Source organism: Homo sapiens, chromosome 5 (assembly GCF_000001405.40).
Source record: "Homo sapiens chromosome 5, GRCh38.p14 Primary Assembly".
Lineage (NCBI taxonomy): Eukaryota > Metazoa > Chordata > Mammalia > Primates > Hominidae > Homo > Homo sapiens.
This window is the reverse complement of record NC_000005.10, coordinates 149,203,539-149,224,890: the sequence shown is the minus strand read 5'-3', so window position 1 is coordinate 149,224,890 and position 21,352 is coordinate 149,203,539. Positions and strand designations below refer to the sequence as shown.

The following is a 21,352-nucleotide window of genomic DNA, read 5'->3' as shown; positions in this document are numbered from 1 at the left end:
ACTAGCTGCATTGTCTAGAGCAAGTCAGTTGCCTCTCTGTGCCTTGGTTTCCCTATTTATAAAACAGGGATGACAACAGTATCTGCCTCATAGGTTTGGTTTGAGGATTAATGAGTTAATCCATGCCCAGCACTTAGAACGGTGTCCGCCTATGTCAGGGACTATATAAGTGTTGGGTATTGTTGTTCTTATTGTCTCCTCTCCTCCACCTACAAAAATAATCTGTGTGCCAGGATCTAGTTTGGGTAAGGGGAGAGCAGTAAAAGGGAGACTTGAGGGGAGCAGGGAGCTGGGGCCTGGGTGAGCGAGGGGGCTGCAGCACATGGCAGGCTGGCTATGCAGGTGGAGTCACTGAACAGAAGCCTGGCTTGGTTGCCAGCGCACCCTCCTGGGAGGTTGGGCTTGTGCCCAGGGACAAGGGCACCTCGGGAGAAGTGGGAAAGACCTACTTGCCTGGAGCTGACATGATGAAGTGGGCCTGAAGCTTAATAAAGAGGTTGGAGGGAGAAAAGTGTTTAGTTACCATGAGGCTGGTTACCATGGAGGATATCGGGCAGGATGAGAAGGGGAAAATGGCAATTCTGAGGTGCCTTGTAATTCACGAGAAATAATAGGTGCTGATAATAACAGTTGGGACAGTAATTAAAGTATATTGAGTGCTTAGTATGTGCCAGGCCCTAAGTATTCTTATTATTCCTATTGTTACTATTATAACTAATATTTATAGAGTGTCGATACCAGGCCTTGTGTCACACACTTTATAACAATAGTGCTTAAATATAAAAAATAATAACTGCCATTTATTGAGTATATATGCTGCACCTTATGCTAAGTATTCTTAAAAATGCTGATAATATTGACAACAGCAAGCACTTACTACTGCATTGCAACATGGGAATGGCCATTTCTATATAACTGGCTGATTATCATGAGCTCAGACTGGCAGAACCAGCAATGCTAGTCCCTGTGCTGAGTCTTTACCATGCATTCATTAGTTCATTTAATCTTCACAACAGCCTTGTGAGATGGAGCCTAGCCTCATCCCTCTTTACAGATGGGAAGTTGGGGGTTAGGGAGCTTGGATGTCTAACCTGCTTGTCCGTCTCTGTCTCCCCACCCTGGCCTGAGTGTGGGCAACAGGTCCTCAGACTCTCTGGAACTTCTCTGCTGAGCTTAGCGGGACATGCTGCCTCTCTGTACTGATGGTGGCAGGGGGCTGGCCAGGCCCTCTGTCCTACTGCATGGAGACAGCCAGTCTGGGCAGGAGAGCATGGGGCCAAACACAAAAAGAAACAGGGAGAAGAACCACCTGATGGTGCTCACGGGCCCCTCGACCCAGCTGTGCTGCTCCTAGACGCTTCTTAGTTCTGTGAGCTGATCAATCTTCTTTTGCCTAACATAGCTTGAGTTAGGTTTCTGTCACCTAAAATGTCTAGACTAATAAAATGTCTCATCGAGCTAAAACCTGAATATCTGACAAGTTCTTGACTTGCCCAGCAGGCAATTTTGTTTCTCAGAAAATAGAGGAAGTAAGCCGGGAAATTGCTACTCTAGACCTAATTCTGACCAACATGGACAAATTGACTGCTGAAGTCGATGTGACATGTGACAGGCGAGAAAATGGCCACATCGGCATGAGTCTGTGGTGACCTGAGAGGAGAAGCTGGAAACAAACTTTAGAAATACAAACCTTAAGCTACTACACTGTAATACTTTCTATATGATTCAAGATGCTTGGTAACCCTTAAAATCTAAATAAAAAAAAAAATGGCAGCTCGCCAAAAATTAAAATATACTCTATTTAAAATGAAATATGCTTAGTAGAGTCAGACTTCAGGAAGTATCAATTTAGTACAGTAACAGAATATGTCTGAAAAATCTAAAATTAGGTAGTAGGATTGGGGAAACATAAGATTTAAAGTTTTTAAGCATAACTCCTACAACCTAAGCTGTCAGTAGAGAGATCCAATTTAAAGTAATAATGCTAAACTACGAAATTATAGCAACCAATACTACAGTAGTGCCTTTTAGAGGGTGGTTTCATGAAATGCGTAGATGATGACTGAGGGCTGGCGTTCCACAACCCATAACAATGGGAGGCCCTCACTTGAACATCTCTCAGCTTAGTGCACCTTTTCTGAGTTACAACCCAGCCATGCCAGAAATACACAGCTCCTGAAACCAGGACCTTGTATCCTCTGAGCTAAAAAAAAAAAAAAAAAAAAAAAAGTAATCTGAAATAGATTCAGTTACACAAGAGAAGGGTTTGGGGTTTGGTGTAATTATCAAAACAAGCTTTTGAGACTCCGTTTCGGATTTGTGTTAACACAGAACCAAGTCTCTTCACTTTATTTTGGCCCATGGACACCTCTGAAAATCTGATGAAAGCTATGGACCCTCTGCCTAAAGAAACACACCTAGCATGCAAAATTTAGCAAGCAATTTCAGAAGACTCATAGAGTTCAAAAGGCTGACCATGAACCAGTTTAAGAATTCTGGTAATATAGATGTAAGAAAATTGCCTCCAAGAACCCTAGCAAGACAGGCCCACTTTGGCTAAGTGGCGTATGCTCTTGAAACTTTCATTCTCATCCTCTAAAATGAGGACATTAATAGTTTTTAGCTGACAGGGTTGTCGTGAGGATAAAATGGGATACTGTGTTTCAAACTCTTAGTACAGTACTTGGCACATAGTAAATGCTCAAAGTATACCAACAAATAATAATTATATTATTAATAATAATAATAAAATGATGGCATTTTATTATTATTAATATTTTTATTATTATCATTATTATTGGTGAGACCTATAATTTGTTATAATACTTTTCTTTAGCAGAGTGAGGTTTGTCCAGTATTTTATAAATGATTTCCTGCCTTGTGGGTTTTAGTTAAATATACAAATGATAACAGCGAATTGTTTTAAAATGTGCAGCTGAACTTACGTAATTCCAGGGTTATTGTCTCAGGTCTTAGAACAGGAGGGTATTTGGTGTAGACAGAAGGGTAGAAGAAGAGTCTATTTTCTCCCTTTTCCTGGGTACAGGCACATTTAGAACAAGAGCAAAATTTGTCTCATGAACCACATTTGGGATTTTAAAAAAACTCTCACTGATCTAGTAACTGCAACCTTTGGGATTTCAGTATAAGTTTTGCCCTGAACCTGCAGCATTTTGGCCATTATTTTGCTGCACAAAATGAGTGACCTAATTTCCTGGTGAAGCCCAAATGAAGGGTTTGGATAACAAACAGATTAGATATTTGGCATCTTTACAAACACAGTTAAAAGATTGAATACACAACAGAACTTAAAACAAATAAAACTTGCTCTTGTCTCCTGGGGCCCCAGAAGTTCTCCTCCAGACAGACGTCAGACTTCTCCCAATTAGAGCCCATCAGAAAGCCATCACATAGCAATTAAAACACAAACAAACTCACCCAAAGAATCTCCCAAGGACCATTTGCCAGTACCATGCTGTGTCCAGCTCCAGAACTGACAAGGCTGGGTTTGTAAGCTTTGCAGGCATCCCAACACTCTCTCTCTCTTATATAAGTTGCTTTATGGAGTCCCCAGTGCCTTCACATTCACTCTCTCCTCTAATGTTCATGAGGACCTTGTGGCATATGGTTGCTCTCTGTGTGCCAGGTAAGTGGGCCTGCCTCAGTTTCTCCACCTCGTTCTGCTTCCACCCACCCAGGGAGGGCCTTTGCACTCACTGTTCTCACTGCCTCCTCAATCTTCCTGCCCTTTTCAGCCTCCCACCTCCTACTCATTTTCAAGGTCTTGGCTTGAAATATCCCTTTTTAGGGGCACCTTCCCTGGCTTCCCAGACTAGAGCAGGGGCTTTATAACACATGCCCATTGTTCAAAACTTTCTCTGTGCAGCACTTGTCACAGCTTGTCATTGAATGTTTACACTTCTATTTGGCACTGTTGGTTTCTCTTTCCAGAGAGTGAACTCCACCAGGACAGCAAGCATGCTTGCCTCACTCATCTCTGAATGCCCAACATGTAGCAGAGAGCCTGGCACATAGCGTGGCCCCCAGTTTGAGTGGATCAATGAAAGACGATGATGTTATCCTCATTTTACAGGTGAAGCAAGAGATCCAGAGAAGGAAGCCACTTCTCAAGGTCACAGCCTATTAGTGGAATTGCTGACGCTTGAACCCGGGAGTCCTGGCTCTCAGCCACTTCTTTACACTCCTGAGCTACCCAGGAGCAGGGTTTTCTTGCCAATTCTGGGGGATATCATATTGAATCCTGGTGTCCCCACTTGGTGAGGGTGTCCAAGGCCCAGATCTCAGTGGTAGCAGAACCCCCACAAGACACTCACAGCCCAAGTGAGCGTGACTCTAGCACTGCTTGGCCTGGTCCCCCTCATTCCAGGATCACTTAGCATCCTTTCAGGCAGGTCCTTGAATGCCCTGCAATTACTCCCACTCTCCCAGGAGCCAGGAGAGGGATGGGGATAATTAATGAGAAGGTGACAGGCTCATCTTCATTACTAAGAATATCTCCCACCCTTGGAGGCATTTCCACTGTAGGTTTAATGGTGCATTCTCTCTCAGGATCACAAAGCTATGCACTTTACTTCCTTGCTTAACTCTTTTAGCACCTGTGGGAAGTTGGAAGAATGAAAGCACTAACCTGTGAGGCTGTGAGCTCCATGAGGGCAGGGCCTTTGACTGATTTGCTCACTGCCACACCTTCAGTTGTGAGAACAGCAGCGGGGACACAGTAGATCCTCAATAGATATTTGCTAAATGAATGATTGAAATGGGAGCTTCCCATGTGTCACGAAATTACTACACCTATATCTTATAGCAACTGTTCTCGGTCTATTTTACATATTAGACAGCCAAGTTTCAGAGAGTTACGAGACTTGCCCAAGGTCAAAAACTTAGTAATCAGTGGAGCCAGGATCCCCCCTGAGGCACTCTGGGTGAAAGCACCCAACAGGGAAAGATTAAGATTAGGAATTCAGGCAGGGAGGCAAAGACGTGGTTTATTCTAGTGATATCCAGGTAGGGATGAGAATGGGAGGGCAGTTTCAATACTAGGAGGTTTGTTCACCAGGGAAGGAGGAGAGGAATATTGTGCAACAAATTTTCAAGCCAAGTGCAAACTCCAGGTTCCCATGGTGGTCAGGATGAAGGCAGGGTGCAGGTTGCTGAGCCTCATAACACTGGTTCCTGCAGCAGGAATCACTCAAGAACCCAGGCAATGAGGGATTGGTGTGCACAGGAAGGGACAGGGACCTGAATATCAGGCAGGGCCTGGGTCCCAGGGGTAAAGTGGAAAGAACCCTGGAGGGGAGACGCAAGGCCAGGCCCTGCTCTGCCCTGACGCACTCCCATTCTCACACAAGTCTCTTCTTTTCTCTGGGTCTATTTTCCCCATCTCTACAATGAGGGTTGGCACTTTACAGTTTAGAGTGACTCTGGGATCCTTACCACTCCAGCATCAGTTCATATAAGTAAGTAGACAGCATCTTAGAAATGGTCACTTTGTTTAATCCAACATAGGAATTCCTGCTCCAGGATTCTTAGCAGATGGCACAAGTTTCTGTTGGGTAGCTCTGGGCCAGTGGTTCTCCACTGAGGATGATTTTGACCCCCTAGGGACATGTGGCAATATCTGAGACATTTTTGATTGTCAGTGGGAAGAAGCACGTGGTTGGCATCTAATGGGTAGAGACCAAGGATGGTACCAAATACCCTACAATGCACAGGACAGCCCACAGTGTCACCAGTGCTGAGGCTAAGGAACTCAGCTGTAGGCACAGGGGGACTCATTGCATCTTGAGGGAACTCATGGCTGTGGGCATTGTGGCTAGGACAAGCTGATACTGACACACTCCCTGTAACTGCTGCCCTGGCCTTAGATCTACCTGGAGGAAGGGCCCTAATTCCTTCTCAAGATGGCTATCCAATCACAGCGATTCCACCAATGACATTCACCTGTGGAGGGAGTATGCATGGGCCAGGGTCAGGGCTGAGGGACAAGTGCCAGGAGCACAGGACCTTAGGGAGGAGGCCAACAACTCTCATACAAGCTGGAGGGGACCAGGGGCAGACAGAGGGCTGTGGGGATGGGGGAAGAGAGGACTGTGTTAAATTGTGGGTGGGGTTGGGGAAATCCTGGGTGCCTATGAAGCATGTAGTGACTGAACTGGGCCTCAAATGATAGGATTTCCAAAGAAGGGCACAGGAAGACAAGGGAAAGGGCCATGAGTTCATTTTAAGTCCAAACAAAGTCTCTCCACAAGGCCCAGCCCATACACCCTGCTTGCCTCCTGGCTGCATCTCACTTCTGTCTGCGCCCTGGCCACACAGGCTCCACTTGCCCTTATGCACTCGCCATTTCTTCACCCACCTCAGAGTCTTGCAGGCTCTGTCCTCTCATTTTGGTGCATCCTATTCCACTTTTTGTTCAGTTGCTATGGTCTGGATGTTTTTGTGTCCCCCACATCCATATGCCAAAATTCGAACCCCCAAGGTGATGGTCTTAGGAGGTAGGGCTATTTGGGAGGTGATTAGGTCATGGACCAGTGTCCTTATAAAAGAGGCGCCAGAGAGCTGCCTTGCCCCTTCCACCATGTGGAGACACAGAGAGAAGGTGCCATCTCTGAGAAAGTGGGTCCACATCAGATACCAAATCTATTGGACCCTTGGTCATGGACTTCCCAGCTTCCAGAACTGTGAGAAATAGATTTCTGCTTATAAGCTGCCCTGTCTGTATCTCAGTCTGCTGAGGTTATAACAGCCCAGATGAACTACAACATCAGTTAACACCCACTCATGGTCTGGATCTCAGCTCCTGGCCCTTCGTCAGGGAGCCCTCCTGGGGCTCCTCCTACCCCGTTATGTGCTCTCAAAGGCCCACACTTCTCTCCTTCATAACACTTACCACAGCTGATGTTTATTTATGTGATTATGGATTAATGCCCATCTCCTTCAGGGGACTGTAGGGCTGGGTGAGCCTCACCATGGACGCTGGCACAGAGCCTACACATGGCAGGGCTCAAGAAACAATCATTGAGTGGATGAATAAATGATCAAAAGTTAGCTTTGGTAGCTTAGGTGTCGGGTATGTTCAAGGCTACAAAGGAAGCCTGGGACCTTGGCAAGATTTTAAATGCTAGGCTGAAGTGTTTGTAGCTAAATAGGCAGACAGGGAGGGGCTCTGAAGAGCAGGGCAGTGCCAAGAGCACGTGATGCCCTGGGATGGTGGGCTGGGCAGAGGGTAGAGGACTGAGCAGAATCTGGAGACTAATTAGGGGACTGTTGTAAGAATCCTGGGGTAAGAGGGCTGGGAAGCAGCAGATGGAAAGCAGCCCTGGTTAGCTTTGTGGGGACGACTGGCACTCCTCATTCCTCTGTGTGTTCTGAGAGTCCCTGGGAAGCCCTGAGCAGCAGCCTGGCATGATGCTCTGAGATGTGGGGAGAAGGAGGTAGAGTAGAGGCTGTGATGCTATAGACACTTTGCAACCCAGGCATCCCTCTGAGGTTCTCTGACCCCTTGGGCCTGTGCAGCTCAGCTTCCCACCCCCAAGGCAGAGCCAGGAGAGTCTGCTCAGAGCACTGCCAGGGAAGCAGTCCAGCTGGGCAGCGGGTGGAGGTGCACAGAGACGGAAGGCAGATTACATGTCACTTCATATTAGCCACACCGGCAACCTTCCCAATCCACCCAGAGAGGGGCCAATTAATTGCAATTCTGAGGACAAGGCAAAAGCCAAGATAACACTGAACCTGAAGCCAAGATAACACTGAACCTGAAGATCGCATCTCCTTTCCAGTCATGAGCAGGTCGGAAGGCCTTACAGAGGGTCAGATTTACTTACCTGTGAGGTACATTTCCTCTCCTTCGGTGAACATCTGGTGGCAGCGTACACACCTGGCACAGGTTGGGTGGTAGTGCTTCCCTCCTGCCTATGGAAATGAAAAGATGAAACAGGAGGTCAGAGCCAGGGCTGCTGTCTAGTGGGGCAGATTGGGTTTGAATCTTTCCTGGGTACATTAGTGTTGTTTGCATCTTCATGGCCCTAAAGTTGGTTGGAGCTACCCAAGGGAGTCCACAACCATCTAAAAGACCAGCCGGGAAGCTTCGTGATTCACTCCATGGATCCCTGATGGCAGTTCAGGGGACTTCCCTGAATACCTGCTCTTCTATTCTGACACTGGGAAGGACACTTGAGAGGCCACTGGTCCAACTTCCTCATTTCCAGAGGAGGAAACAGGCTTGCTTTGAGGACATCCCAGCATTTCCCCAAGTGAGAGGCCCTTACCACTAATGTTACATGAAATGATTTTAAGTGGTACATGAACTTGGGATTTAATAACATTGGACCAATGGAAAAAAAAAAAAGATCTTTTCAGTCCTCTATACATTCTTCTGATTTTGTCAAGGACGAAGTACCAGTTCGGTGCTTATGTGTCTTTAACATCTATCCAAAACCTACAAATCTGCCTTTTAAAGAATGAGAACAGGTGTGAGGCTTGGAACCTCCACATGCAATAGAATCTAGCTAGAACTCTATTTATTTTCAGGTTACATGCAATATGGCAAGTGATACTGCTTTCCTGTTATGTCGTATATAAGTTTCCTTACATATAAGGGAGCCAACCTCAAGACACTTAAAGTATTATGGAAGAATCAGCTCACGAGGTTCACAGACATGGCAAAAATTGTGAGACTGGCACACAAAGGACAGATTTTTAGGGCTCAGTGGGTGATTTAGGACCCACTGTAGAGCCCCAGATCCCCAGGCCAGTCCTGTGACTATTTTGCCCTGGTGTGTCCAGCCCTACCGCAGCTCACCCCAGTGTGACTTTGGTGAGTGCCTTCCCTATTTTCACTTTCCTTCCCCATCACTATTTAAATTAAAAATGAAAATAATTTGCAGCTGCAAAGACTTCCATGGGGGGAAGAAACAGCCCCTGAGAAGGTTGTGCCTCAAGGGTTCACTGCAAGCCAGCAGCAGTGTTGGGTCCGGATGTGTGTGAGTCAGTCACCAGCTCAGCACTTGCTTCTGGAGTCACAATTCTAACACCAAAATCCCAGCCAAGAGGGCTTGTAAAAGGGAACTTCAGCGGCGGCTCCAGCATTTGTATATGCAGGAGCTTGGTGCAGCAATTGGGTTGGCAGGTGGGCCTTGTTTGAAGAAATATTTTGCAACGTCAGGGCAGGGTTTTCTTTGGGGGAGGGTAATGCCCAGGGGAAACTGATGGATGTTAGGGGTTCTTAAAGGTCCCTGTCCAAGCCATCACTTGATCTGATGCTAATGGGTTCCTTCCAATTCAAAAATTATAATTGCATAATAAGAAGACCTATTTCCAAACTTAGTTTTTTTTTTCTTTTTTTTTTTATGTGGGGGGAGTGGAAGATTGTTGGGATGGGCTTGCCTATTCTGGAGATATTATCTCTATTCTAAAAACTTAGCAAGAATGTGGGAAAGGCAGATTTTTACAAAAAGAAAAAAATCTCCAATATTCCTTTTTCCCCCCGTTTGTTTATATGGCCTCGCACCAATGAGACAGTGTCCTTGTCATCATCAAAGCGAATATGTTCAAACTTTGGAAGGAGCCTGCTATTTTCCTAAGCTGGAATGTGTGGGACTGATTCCCTTGTACCATGACAAGGATAATCAGTTTAATTAGCAGCCTCTTCCTACTCTGTGTCTCTTTATCATTTTGATTATAGACCTGTTTTCCAGTGTGGCAACAGTGCCTTGGCAAAACTGAAGCCTAGCATTTTCCTAAATGTCATGCCCCACTACCTCACCCCAGCTGAAAGAGGCTTTGTGCCCATCTCAGCAGCCCCAGTCTTGGATGGTGTTGAAAACAGTTTGAGCAAAGGGAGGTAGGGCAGCCTGCACCCAGAGTAAGGAAAAGCCACGTCAGCTAGCTGAGATGAACCATTTTGTCTATTAACGAACTGAAATCAGGAAAATAGTAAAGAAAAATGGCAAAAAATTGGTACCCTCAAAACAGAGCCCTATTTGAGAGGACCGAAAACAGCAAACCAGGTTCAAAAATGTAGCAACAAGCAAACCAGGTTGTGGTCCTTTTTGGTGAGGAAACAGACAGGGATGGAAGGAGTGACACTGACAGCCATTGAGCTCTGTCACTGAGGAAGGGACCATGGGGTGGCCTAGGGAGGAAATGGGAAGGGACAGGATGAGAAGAGAAGGAGAAACAACTTAATTGAATGCCTGCAGTGTGCCAGACGATGTGCTTGGGCGACTGTTGTTCCTGCATGGCCATCATTCTTTCCTCCTTCTTCCAGAAACAGTCCCAAGCCTTTCCTTGGTGGGGCTACCTCTTCTCCATATCAGTCCACAGGGTTAAGTAGTGCTGACCCCACCAATGAGCATATTCCAACTTTGTGGGCACAATTAGTGGCCCAGGGATGGGCCTGAGATTGTCCAATGAGAGTCAGTCCCAGAATGCTTGCTGAGCTATTAGAAAAGAGAAGTTCTTTTTTCCACCGGGCGTGCCGGCTGATAGAATCTAAGCCTGGGGCAACTGGTGTCCAACTTTCCCATCACCAAGAACGCCCTCCTGAGAATAAACTTAACTTGGAAGAAAGTAAGCCAAGATGGCTGGGGATTCTAAATGATTTCGCTTAAGCACTGGATCCAGCTCCTGGGCTTTTTGTTATAGGAGCTGAGAAACTTCCTCTCTGTTGCAGCCCAAAAAGTCTTGACTAACGTGTTCATTAGGAATTAAATGACAGTAGTATTGTCTGTTGATAGATACAGACTAAGAGGACATATCTTGCTTAAGGCTTCAGGGCTAGAAGTGGTAAAATCTGAATCCAAGTCTGTTTTACTGCAGCCATGTCTATTTCCTGACATCATGCTACCTCAAAGACCCCCAAGTGGCTGAGAGCTGTGGGTATCGGTAGATACAGCAGCCTGGAGTCCTAGATTTTAGCTCTGTCTCTACCAGAAATGCTGCTTGTGACCTTGGAAAAACACTGCATGTCTTGGTCTCACTTTTCTCATCTGTAAAATGAAGAGGTTGAACTAGTTGATTGCTAAAAGTCTCTTCCAGCTCTAAGAAAAAAAAAAAATCAATAAGTCGAAGATGCTAATGGAGCCTTGTAGAAATGGGATCAATCGAAACTCAGTCACAACAGCTGCCTGGGAGGAACAGTCTACCGCAATGCTAAACAACGGTAACTCTCGGGGAAACGGCAGCTGCCACCAACAGGATTTCAAAGCAGCTTGGAAATGCTGAACAAATTTCCATCTGTGGCCCTGTCTGTAATCTAAGTTCTTTCTTTCTGGAAAGAAAAGTTTCCTTTTGTAATATCTCCCACCGCATTGACCCTTCAACCTACTACACTCTGGATGCCTCTTCCCCACAGTTCTGCAAAGCCAACAAACGACTCTTCTGAAGGTGACCTTTCCCACATCCAACAGCTTTTCCGCAGCCCACGCAGTCCTTCACTGCTCTACAGAGTTTGACCAACACTCTGACCTCACCATGTTTTCTGAAGCTCTGTCCTTTCACTGAATGCCCGATTCTCTTCCCATATCTTCCTCTGCTACCTCCTCAGTCTCTTTCTGAGTCGCTTTCACTGTGAGCAGCTGCTCGCCAAGGTTGGTGTCAGCCTCCTTCCTTGCTCTCTTTCCTCTGTCTTGGAAATCCTGAGGACTCTGGTGGTGCTATTATTCAAAGCCTCACGTTTTTAAGATTGGCTCCTCCAGGCCTGAGCTTTGTTCCTGAGCTCTGATCCATATTTCTTTTCTTTTCTCATTTTTCTTGCCTCGGACAGGATCTTGCTCTGTTGTCCAGGCGGGAGTGTAGTGGTGCAATCTCAACTTATTGCAACCTCCACCTCTCAGGCTCAAGTGATCCTCCGGAATGGCTAGGACTACAAGCGTGCACCACCATGCCTGGCTAGTTTTGTTTATTTTTTATAGAGATGAAGTCTCACTGTGTTGCCTAGGCTGATCTTGAACTCCTGGACTCAAGTGATCACCCTGTGTTGGCATCCCAAAGTGCTGGGATTACAGGTGTGAGCCACCACTCCCAGCCTCTGATCCGTATTTCTGACTGCCTTCTGGAAACACTCCTGGGATTTCAATCACAACTCATCCTAAATGGTACTCGCCATGTTTCTGCCAGATCAGCTTTTTCCCCTGTCATCCCCAGTTCTGCCAATGACACCAGGCTTCCTATCCCTCAGAAATAGATAATTCTTTGGTGCAACTTTTAGCTGCTTCTCCTTCAATCCCCATGTCCACAAGCTGCCCCTCAGTTGCAGAGTGATTGGAATTCTACTTCCATAGGGCTGGGCACAAGGGTGGCTTCCCTCTCCATTGCTACTGTACCTCTTGAGTCCTTCCTGCCTGGGTCACGCAGGGGCCTCCTCACTCATCCCTTCCAGCTTCCTTCCTTCAAATGTAGCCTGTGTACATTATCACGTCATCCTCCCAGAAGCCCAGCTCTAACCAGGACGTTCCTTCCCAGTCTCTCCACAATGCTCCCTTGCCCAGTGAGTCACATGCAAACTCCACCCTGGTATCCCAGGCCCTCAGAAACCCACCCCCAACAACCCTTCCTGGACTCATGCCTTGTCCTCTGCATCGCACTCCTTACAGCTCTCGAGATGCTTAAATGTTTCCCAGCTCTGCTCATTTGTTTATATCTCATTGTCTCTGACTCTCTCTGAAAATTCTCCACACAGTAACCACAGAAATCTTTTTAAAAACATGATCTTATCATGTTAGTCCTTGGCTTAAAACTCTCCAATGGCTTTCCATTGCACTGAGTATAAAACCCAAACTTCTAAACATGGTCTACAAAGTCCTACATGGTATGCCATATATGATATACTCTTATATTTCATCCTCCCCTACCCTCAATTTATAGAATTCAGCCACATTGGCAGACTGGGTCAGCTATTGTGAGCAGAATCATTAATTCAGCCAAATCTGGCCACTTGGTTGTGGTTACCATGAGTGCTTGTGTTGAGAAAAATTCTGCAGCCACAATTCTGTGTGGGTTCTCTGTTCTTTGAATGGGTCAAGCTCATTCTTCCTCTATCTTTTCCCACCTCAGGGCCCTTCAGGGATAGTTCTTTCATCCTCAGGGCTCTGCTTCAATGCATGTCCTCAGAGAGTTCCTTCCTGGTTGCTACATCCCCTCCTGCTGAGTCTACATGTGGCTGCAGACTTGTTCTCAACAAAGCACTCATGGTAACCACAACCAACTGGCCAGATTTGGCAGAATTAATGATTCTGCTGACAATACCTGATCCAATCTGATCCTCTAGCTATTGTCATATGGAAAAACTGAGGCCTAGAAAAGCAAAGATACTTACTCAAAATCTGAGCAGGAGTAGAGTCAATACTAGAACTCAATTATTCCTGTTAGGCTATTATTTTTCCTTTCCACTGAGCCCTTCCCTGTTTCTAATTCATCAAGGTGGGTGGTCCCAAAGTATAGGAAGATAGCTTCCAGGCCCACAGGGTATAGGAAGAAAGGCCGGAAAGACCAGTGCACAGGGGCTCAGCAAGGCCTCAGCAAGGGTTTTGCAGGTTGTCTGTCACTGCAGAAGGAGTCATACATCAAAGGCTGGGGAGAGGCGTTGCCATGGTGATGGACCCACCAAAGAAGGGCTTAGGGAGCAAGCTGCTAGACAAGCTGGCTCTTAAATCAGCACATTACCAAATACTAAAACAAACAAACAAACAAAATAAATAATTAAATAAATAAATAAATAAATAAATAAAAAAGACTTCCTTTCTCCGGCAGGGCTGGGAGGAAAATCCTAATGTCACTCTTTAGAAATCTGTCTGGGTCCGAATCAAAGATACAACTGATTTTCCCAGCACAGCATTTTTTGAACCAGGAAGAATTTTGTCTACCTTCTCATTTTGGGGTTTCCCAGAGATCTCAGCAAGGTTATCTGCTCAAGGTCATGTAGCAAGCAAAGGTGGAGGAGGTAAAGGCTATGGAAAAAAAGGTATGGGATGACTTTCTCCTTCTTCTGTGATGACTTTTTGGAGGCACAGATCACCCTGCCACATCTTCACGGTTACTTATACCCACTCACCTCCAAGACTCTGCCACTGATGTATCGGTCACAAGTCTCACATTTAATGCCAAACTGGGCATGGTAGTCGGACTCACAGTATGGAACACCATCCCTGCAAGAAGAAGTTCACATAGGATGAGGAAGTTAGGGAGGATCAGTGAGGGTGCACATGGCATTTAGATTCTGGACCTGCAGCCTATGTTGACTGAGCCAAAGTTCGATACTTCTCCTTTAATAAACAATTTCATCTGTATGAAAGAATCATCTGACTGTGCTCCCAGATCAGTAGATGACAGGAAGCCTCCTGGGACCACCTCCTGTGTGCTCCATTTTTTACCCAATGTTTATCACTTGGCGGACAGTGATAAGATTGTTATCCCTTATTCTTATACCACCCCCTATGACTAATAGCCACTAACATTTGTTGCTGGTGTGCGCCGGGCTCTTTGATGGTGTTTGATGGCAACCCTATGAGTCAGAATTATTAGTATCCCCATTGTGTAGGTGAGAAAACCTAAGCATAGCACACTTTAGTAACTTGTCCCAGGCCACCCAGGATGACCTAGAGCTGGAATTCAAACCCAGGTTGTCTGGTTTCTCACCCAGGTTGTCATGAGGATTAAAGGAGATGGGTCCAGTGTACCCTAGGGCTCAGGACAGTGCCTAGCCATACTGAGTACTCAGCAAATGGCAGCTGGAGGAATGGCCATGATTGCTGAGAGGAGTCTTTGAGGAGGACATTTGGTTCTCAGTTCTCTAGGACTGAGGTAGAGATAGTTGGGGGCATCGGAGAGCTTAGCTTTGCTTCGGGCTCTGCCTCGCTCTAATGACCAAGTCTGAACTCTGAGGAGAAACATTTCTTTCACTTTTGGGTGTAAGAGAACTTGGCTCAGACACTGAGAGACCTAAAGGAGAGGCACATCACTTTTCCATCTCGAAGCTGTTGCCCTGATGAGGTTGCTGGGGGCCCACCCTGGGCAGCATTTTCCTGGAGAAGCAGCAGTGAGGACCAAGGTCTGAAGATGTCCGACCAAGGTCTGGAGGTGTGACTGTGCCCACAAGGCAAGGACTTGTTTGTGAGCCCCTGAGACACACCTCCCCCAACCCTTTCAACTCCTCCCTCCTCCCCCGCTCAATCAGGTTCTCACTCTGTGGGTGCGGGAGGGTAGCTCTGCAGGGAGAAAAAGTCATTTGTCAGAAGGTGGATGTGATGAGCCAACAAGATTTGAGTATAAATGCCAACACAATCTCTTTTGGATCCATCCTTCTCTTGGGGAATTAGCGGTACACAATTCTAAAAGAGGATGGTAAAATGAGTATTTACTGGGCAGTTATTGGGTGCTAAGCACAGATCTCTGAGCCCTTACACAACCCTACAGGTAGATCATCTTCTCTCCATTTTTATAAATGAGGAAACTGAGACTCTGAGCAGTGGAGTCCCTTGCCAAGGTCACATAGGCTGCGCTTCTATCCTGGGCATCTGATGCCTGAGCCAGTGCCTCTGAGCCCCTGCCACTCTGCCAGCAGCCAGGTAAGGGGCCCAGAGCTATGCTGCAGAGGTACCAGGTGTGGTGGGCAATCTGGGCTGGGCCTCCTTGAGAGGAGCTCTGAACAATCCCTTAAGTCCCTAGAGAACTCTGATTTAGGCTTCCAGACTCAAGCACTCCTGGCTGGCAATGTACTAAGGGCACTCCTTGCTTGGTGGGCATAGAGGGGAATGCCAAACTCCTGCTAGCATGGCATCGAGAGCTCTCGGTGATGTGACCTCAGCTCACCTATGCAGCCCAGGATCTGGCTTCACCTGGGCACATGTTTGAGCTCCTATACAGGATGGAGATGTCCAACACTCCCCTACTGCCCTGGCCTTGCCCAGGCTGGCCATTCTGCCTAGAAGCTCTTCTTCTTTGCATTTTTGAATCTTACCCCCACCTTCCATGGAACTCTCAGAGATTCAAGATTCTACTTCATGCTAGTTAGCAGTCATCCTTTTTTTCTCTGAATATTCACAGCCCTTTATTTGTTATCTTGGACACAGGCAGGTGTTGTTTGGCCAGCATCCATTTCCCCTTCTGCTGATAATAGTACCTCGCCTGGATTTCCCTTTGGAAGCCACCCCTTCCCAGTTGAGGTCCCTGTGGGTCACAAGAGGCTGCTCTCTGGCTCTAGGGTTCAGATCCTCTGGGCCAGTGATTGGTCAGGAATGGGCATGTGGCCTAACAGTGGCCAAATCAGAGGCAGACCTGGGACTTTTGCTGGAGTTCCTGGGAAAGAGGCCTCTTTTTCTGCTAGGCTTGGTATGGAAGCCTGGAGTGTTGGCAATCTTCTTTGCTAGCACTTGGGGAGGGCCAGATTGAGAACTAATCCACCATGAAGACAGCAGAGAAAGACAGGGACAGAGACAGAGAGAGACAGAGAGAGAGAAAGAGAGACAGAGAGAGAGAAAGAGAAATTGAGAGAGAGAGAGAGAGAGAGAGAGAGAGAGAGAGACAAAAAGATAGATAGAGAAAGACAGAGACTTCTGAAGTACTAATGACATCCTTAAGCCCCTGGATTCCTCCATGTCTGAAGCCAGTGTGCCTCTGGCCTTCCCATTTCTGTGAGTTAATAAACTCCTATTTTTGCTTTTAATTGAGTTGGAGGTGGGTTTTCTGTCACTTAGGATCAAAAAGGTCTTAAAGAATAAAGCTTGTCTGGGCTCCTGATCACACATTTCCTGGTGTCATAATTCTTCATGAACGCAGCATATCTGTTTCCCGTATTAGACTGCAGGGTCTTGACAGCAGAAGCATGTGTGCTGCAGCTCTGTGTGCTTGCCACTGCCTGGCATCAGGCCAGAGAGTGGCACCTAGAAGGGTCTGGGGTCATATGATGTCAAAGCTGTGACAAAGGATCTGTGCTGATAATTACTTTTAGGTACTTGAGTATATAAATGTGGTCACTGGGGCCCAGCAACAAGAGGACACTTGTCTAATACTGCAGTGTGTGGGTCACTGGAGGTTGGCCCCTCTGGATAACTATGCACCCATCACCTCCTCTCATATCCATTAAATTCATTCAGCAACTATATTATTGACTGTGGGTCAGGTGTTGCTCTCAGGGCAGGGGATATAGCAGTGATTAAAACAAAGCCCCTCTCCTGGTGGGTACAGAGATTAAACACTATTACTGGAGCAAGTTATTTACTCTCTCAAGTCTGAGTATTCAGTGGGGATAAATTCCTCAAAGGGGCAGTTATGAGGATTTAAAGTGATACTTCATACAAAGTAGTGAGTTCCTTCTACATAATTAAAGCTCAATAAATGGTAGATAGTATTATTAGCATTATTACAAAGTTACCAGGGATAAATATGTAATTACCAATGGTGGTAGCCTGTGTGAAGGAAACAACAAGGTACTCTGAGGGCCCAAAACGGGGCAGTAAATGAGAGACGGCCGGAGGGGAAGGCATGGGGACCGAGACCAGAAGGGAGAGAAGGGGCAGCAGGCGTGCAAGGAACAGGGAGGGTGTCTCAGGCAGAGGGAAACCCCCCCGGGAGGGTCCAACGGGGGAAAGAGGCTGCTGGGAAAGATGCTGTTTGGCCAGAATGCAGCAGCAGACGGAAAGGAAGGGAGATGATGCTGGAGATGTAGGCATGGGCTCAATGGGGCAGGCCTCACAGAATGCAGAGGCCCAGGCAGCTGGGGCAGGAGCAGGGGGACCCACTTGCTGATATACTCCCCGGTGAGGATGACGCTGCAGGTCTGGCACTTGAAGCAGCTGACGTGCCACTGCTTGTCCAGAGCCAGGAGTGACTGGCCGTGCTTGATCTCCTCCTTGCACCCGGCACAGTCTGCAAGACAAGAGGACACTGCTGAGCAAAGCACCCTGGGCCCTTTAACCCCCGCTATCTCAGGCCCACGTCAAGGAAACCCCTCCCTGAATGCCAGTGTTCCCATAGTTGCTCCCACCTGACACTGGAAGCTTCCCAGAGGCTCTCCCAGGGGAGAGAAAAAGCCACTGGAGTCCTGGCCTCTTGACAAGGGGTCTTGGTGTAGGAGAGAAAGAAAGACCTCCCTGCTTGTCATCAAGACCACATTGTTCACTGAAAGTGGACCCTGCACTGCTTCCAGCCCTCCTCAAATTGCTAACTAAGCTCTGCTGCTGTCCGTGACCTTGCCATCTGCAGCGTCAGCATCACCTGGAAGCTGGCAGTGTGCAGCATTGCAGACCCCACCCAGACCTCTTGAATTTTAACAAGACCTCCGTGCAGAGTAAAAGTTTAAGAAGCACTGCTCCTGGGGATGGGCTAAGTATACAGTTTTTCAAACCCTTAGGCTATATACACATTGGCAAGGGCTGTGTTTATATTTTGTGGTTAAACCTATTCCTTTGCCTAGCACAGTGCTCAGCCCATAGCAGTAACTCAAAGCATATTTGCCAAATGTGTATGAATGAATGGGCCTGATGGTACCCAGGCAACAAACAGAATTACCACACCCACCCCTTCCCCATTGTGCTTCACACATCGAACATGTGCCTTCCCAAGTGGCAAGGATTACAGGGTCTGATGAGACTGTCCCAAACCAGAAAGGTGCCCTCACTCCCTGACACGGTCACCCTGGAATGTGAGTTGGGGCCAAGAGAATGTGGGACAAGCCTAGCATCAGCTTGTTGCTCAATGAATGTCTGAGGAGGGTCCGGAAATGGAGCCAACGTCCAAGGCACTTGGAAACTGCTGGGAATTCAGGCCTAGCCAACCGGATGACCCACTTTGGCGGAGGAAAGGGTCATGGGGCAAAGTTGACCAGAGGACAAACTTCCCTGTTGGCTCCATAAGACAAATGCACACTTGGGAGTAGTGAGGAGAGCAGAAACTGCATGTAAAGTTAGGGGATTCTGGCTGGACAGCCCCCACATCCAGCTGGGAGCCTGTCCTAGAAGAAAAGATGATGTGTCTGCAAATCTAGGAAGGGTGGTGGGTCCAGCCGGCTGTGGGGAGGGTCTGGGGCCTTGATGAAGTGTTTGTATGAGTCAGTTCCCACAGTACTCCGCCTCTTGGCTGTTGCGTGCCTTTCTAACATCCCTTAGTACAAGTTGGGGGCAGAAAGGTCTCTACTTGCAAAATGCTTCAAGCCCCAGGCCTTCAGATGGGGGCTGAGAGAATAAAGAGTTTCGGGATTTATCTCTCTTCCTTTCTATTCTCCTGGGGTAAGTCTATAAGTCTACTTGCACCCCCTGCCCAATAATTAGACTCCAGAATGCAATAGTTTAGAGAGGTCAGGTACCCCCTTCTCTTTTACAGATAGACAGGGGTCTGAAATGACTTGCCCAAGCTCAGTATAGAGGAACCCAAGGACTGTAGACACCTGGTCAAGCTTTCTAGGTCACTAATACTGAACTTGTATCTCTGTGGGCCTCCCCAGCAGGGCCTAAAAATTCCATAGGGGTTTGGAGTTCACAGAGTATTTGGTCAAACATCCCACCCAATGCAGTAACCTACAGCATTCTCGACAAGTGGGCACCCTCCTCTGCTTAATCACCTCCAGTAGTGGGCAGTTTAACCCCTCCTGAGGAAGGGGTGGTGAGGAAGTCCACTCTGCCCTTGGACAGGTATGATTGTCATGACTGTCTTCTTTATATGGAGCTGAGACTTGACTCCCGTGACTGCTCCCATTCTTACGCATCAAGAATAATCCACCTCTTTTCCCATACGACAGTTCTTTTAAAGAATTAAAGACAACTATAGTTTCTCTCTTCTTTATTCCTTACACTTTTTCTTGCTTGACATGATCATCCAGTGATCAAATTCACTTGTGGATTCCATGGAGAAAGACATGTAATTGGCAAACAACACAATTCTCTGTTTCTTCAACAAAACTTATTGCATAGCTGTATCCTTTCATGGCCATACTCTAGAAATGAATCCTATCTCTTCGACTTTCAGTGGTACATCTGAGATAAATTTAACCCCTTGAGTTAAGCTGTAGGAGAGAGTACAGCGCAGTGGTTAGAGGCTGGGCTGAGAGTTGGAGTGAGCAGTGGGAAATTGGCCCAGGAGAGAATCCCAGCTCCTTTTCTTATGAGTTGTATGCTCTCTAAGCCCAGACTTGCTCATCTGAATATCTTCCTTAAAACACTGGTGTGAAGGTTAATTAAAATCAGGCCCATTAGGCCTTAGCACAATGCTTGGCCCATATGAATCCAATACGTGGTTGTTGTCATTATTATTTTACATTCTCCTGTTTTTAACCCACATTCTGTGCATTACCCAATCCCTGTTCTGAAGCCAGGAGCGATAGTCCTGTTGTAGGGAAGCCTGCTGATTCCCCGTGAGAATTCTGGGACATCTTCTCCATGTGGCTTTTCTTTTTATATTATACTGCTGCTCCTCCATTATATCAGCTTCTTATTTATTAGGACCTTTTCGCCCTCTTCTTCCTCCTTTCACTCTTGACCACCAGTGGAGCCTCAGGCATGCCACCCAGGAGCCCGTGGGTCTGGTGTAATAAATAGAATCAGGAAAACCACACCCTGTTCCAAGTTGGTGTCTGCAGAGCCAGCTGTCCACTCCTCCATATGTTCCTCTCTATTCCAAAATTACAATCTTCAGCTGGCAGAATGTATGATGCTACCACCTGTCCCTCTCAGATCCCTCAGTTATAAACTGAGGCCTCCTAAAGACGCTAGACAGCCATTTTTATCCTTTTTAGACTGTGTCATTCATTCTATTTAAATCAGCAGAAATGAGTGGGTTTTGTGAGTCATAGCAAGCTCCGTACCTTGTTTTAGGCAACTAATCCAGGAAGACTAGACACTTCCCAAGTTGCAAGTCATGTCTCTGGTACAGAGTGTTAAGGGAATAGGATCTAAGGCCAGACTGGCTGGTCTCACATTCTAGTTCCATTACTCATTATCTGGGTGACTTTGGGCAAGTCATTTATGCTCACTGAGTCTCAGTTTTCTCATCTATAAAATAATTACTCTTATCTCCCTCATAGGGTTGTTGTAATGATTAAATGAAATATCTGTATAAAACACTTAGTGAGGTGCTTGACAATAGTAATAATCTATGTTAGTGGTGGTGATGCTGATATTGTTGGTGTTGACAGTGTTGGTGGTGATGATGGTGACAGTGATGATGGTGGTAATAATAATGGTGGTGATGGTGTTGATGCTGCTGGTGCTGGCGATAGTGGTAATAGTGGTGATTATGGTAGCGTTGGCGAAGGTGGTGGTGATTGTGTTGGTGGTGACAATGGTATTGATGGTGATGGTGGTGTTGTTCATAATGGTGATGAGGGTGGTGATGGTAGTGATGA

At 46.7% G+C, this 21,352-nt stretch overlaps 1 protein-coding gene across 14 annotated transcripts in view; it reads right to left on the bottom strand.

The window, feature by feature from the left end:
- The window catches only part of ABLIM3 (actin binding LIM protein family member 3), a 119,050-nt gene that overhangs the window by 35,652 nt on the left and 62,046 nt on the right, over positions 1 to 21,352 (bottom strand). For all 14 annotated transcript variants that reach the window (NM_014945.5, NM_001301018.3, NM_001345858.2 and 11 more), the window contains 3 exons: positions 17,757 to 17,883; positions 14,072 to 14,165; positions 7,845 to 7,932 (listed from right to left, as the gene is read on the bottom strand). In NM_014945.5, coding sequence (NP_055760.1) covers positions 7,845 to 7,932; positions 14,072 to 14,165; positions 17,757 to 17,883 — 309 coding nt within the window. The remainder of the gene's footprint in view (positions 1 to 7,844; positions 7,933 to 14,071; positions 14,166 to 17,756; positions 17,884 to 21,352) is intronic.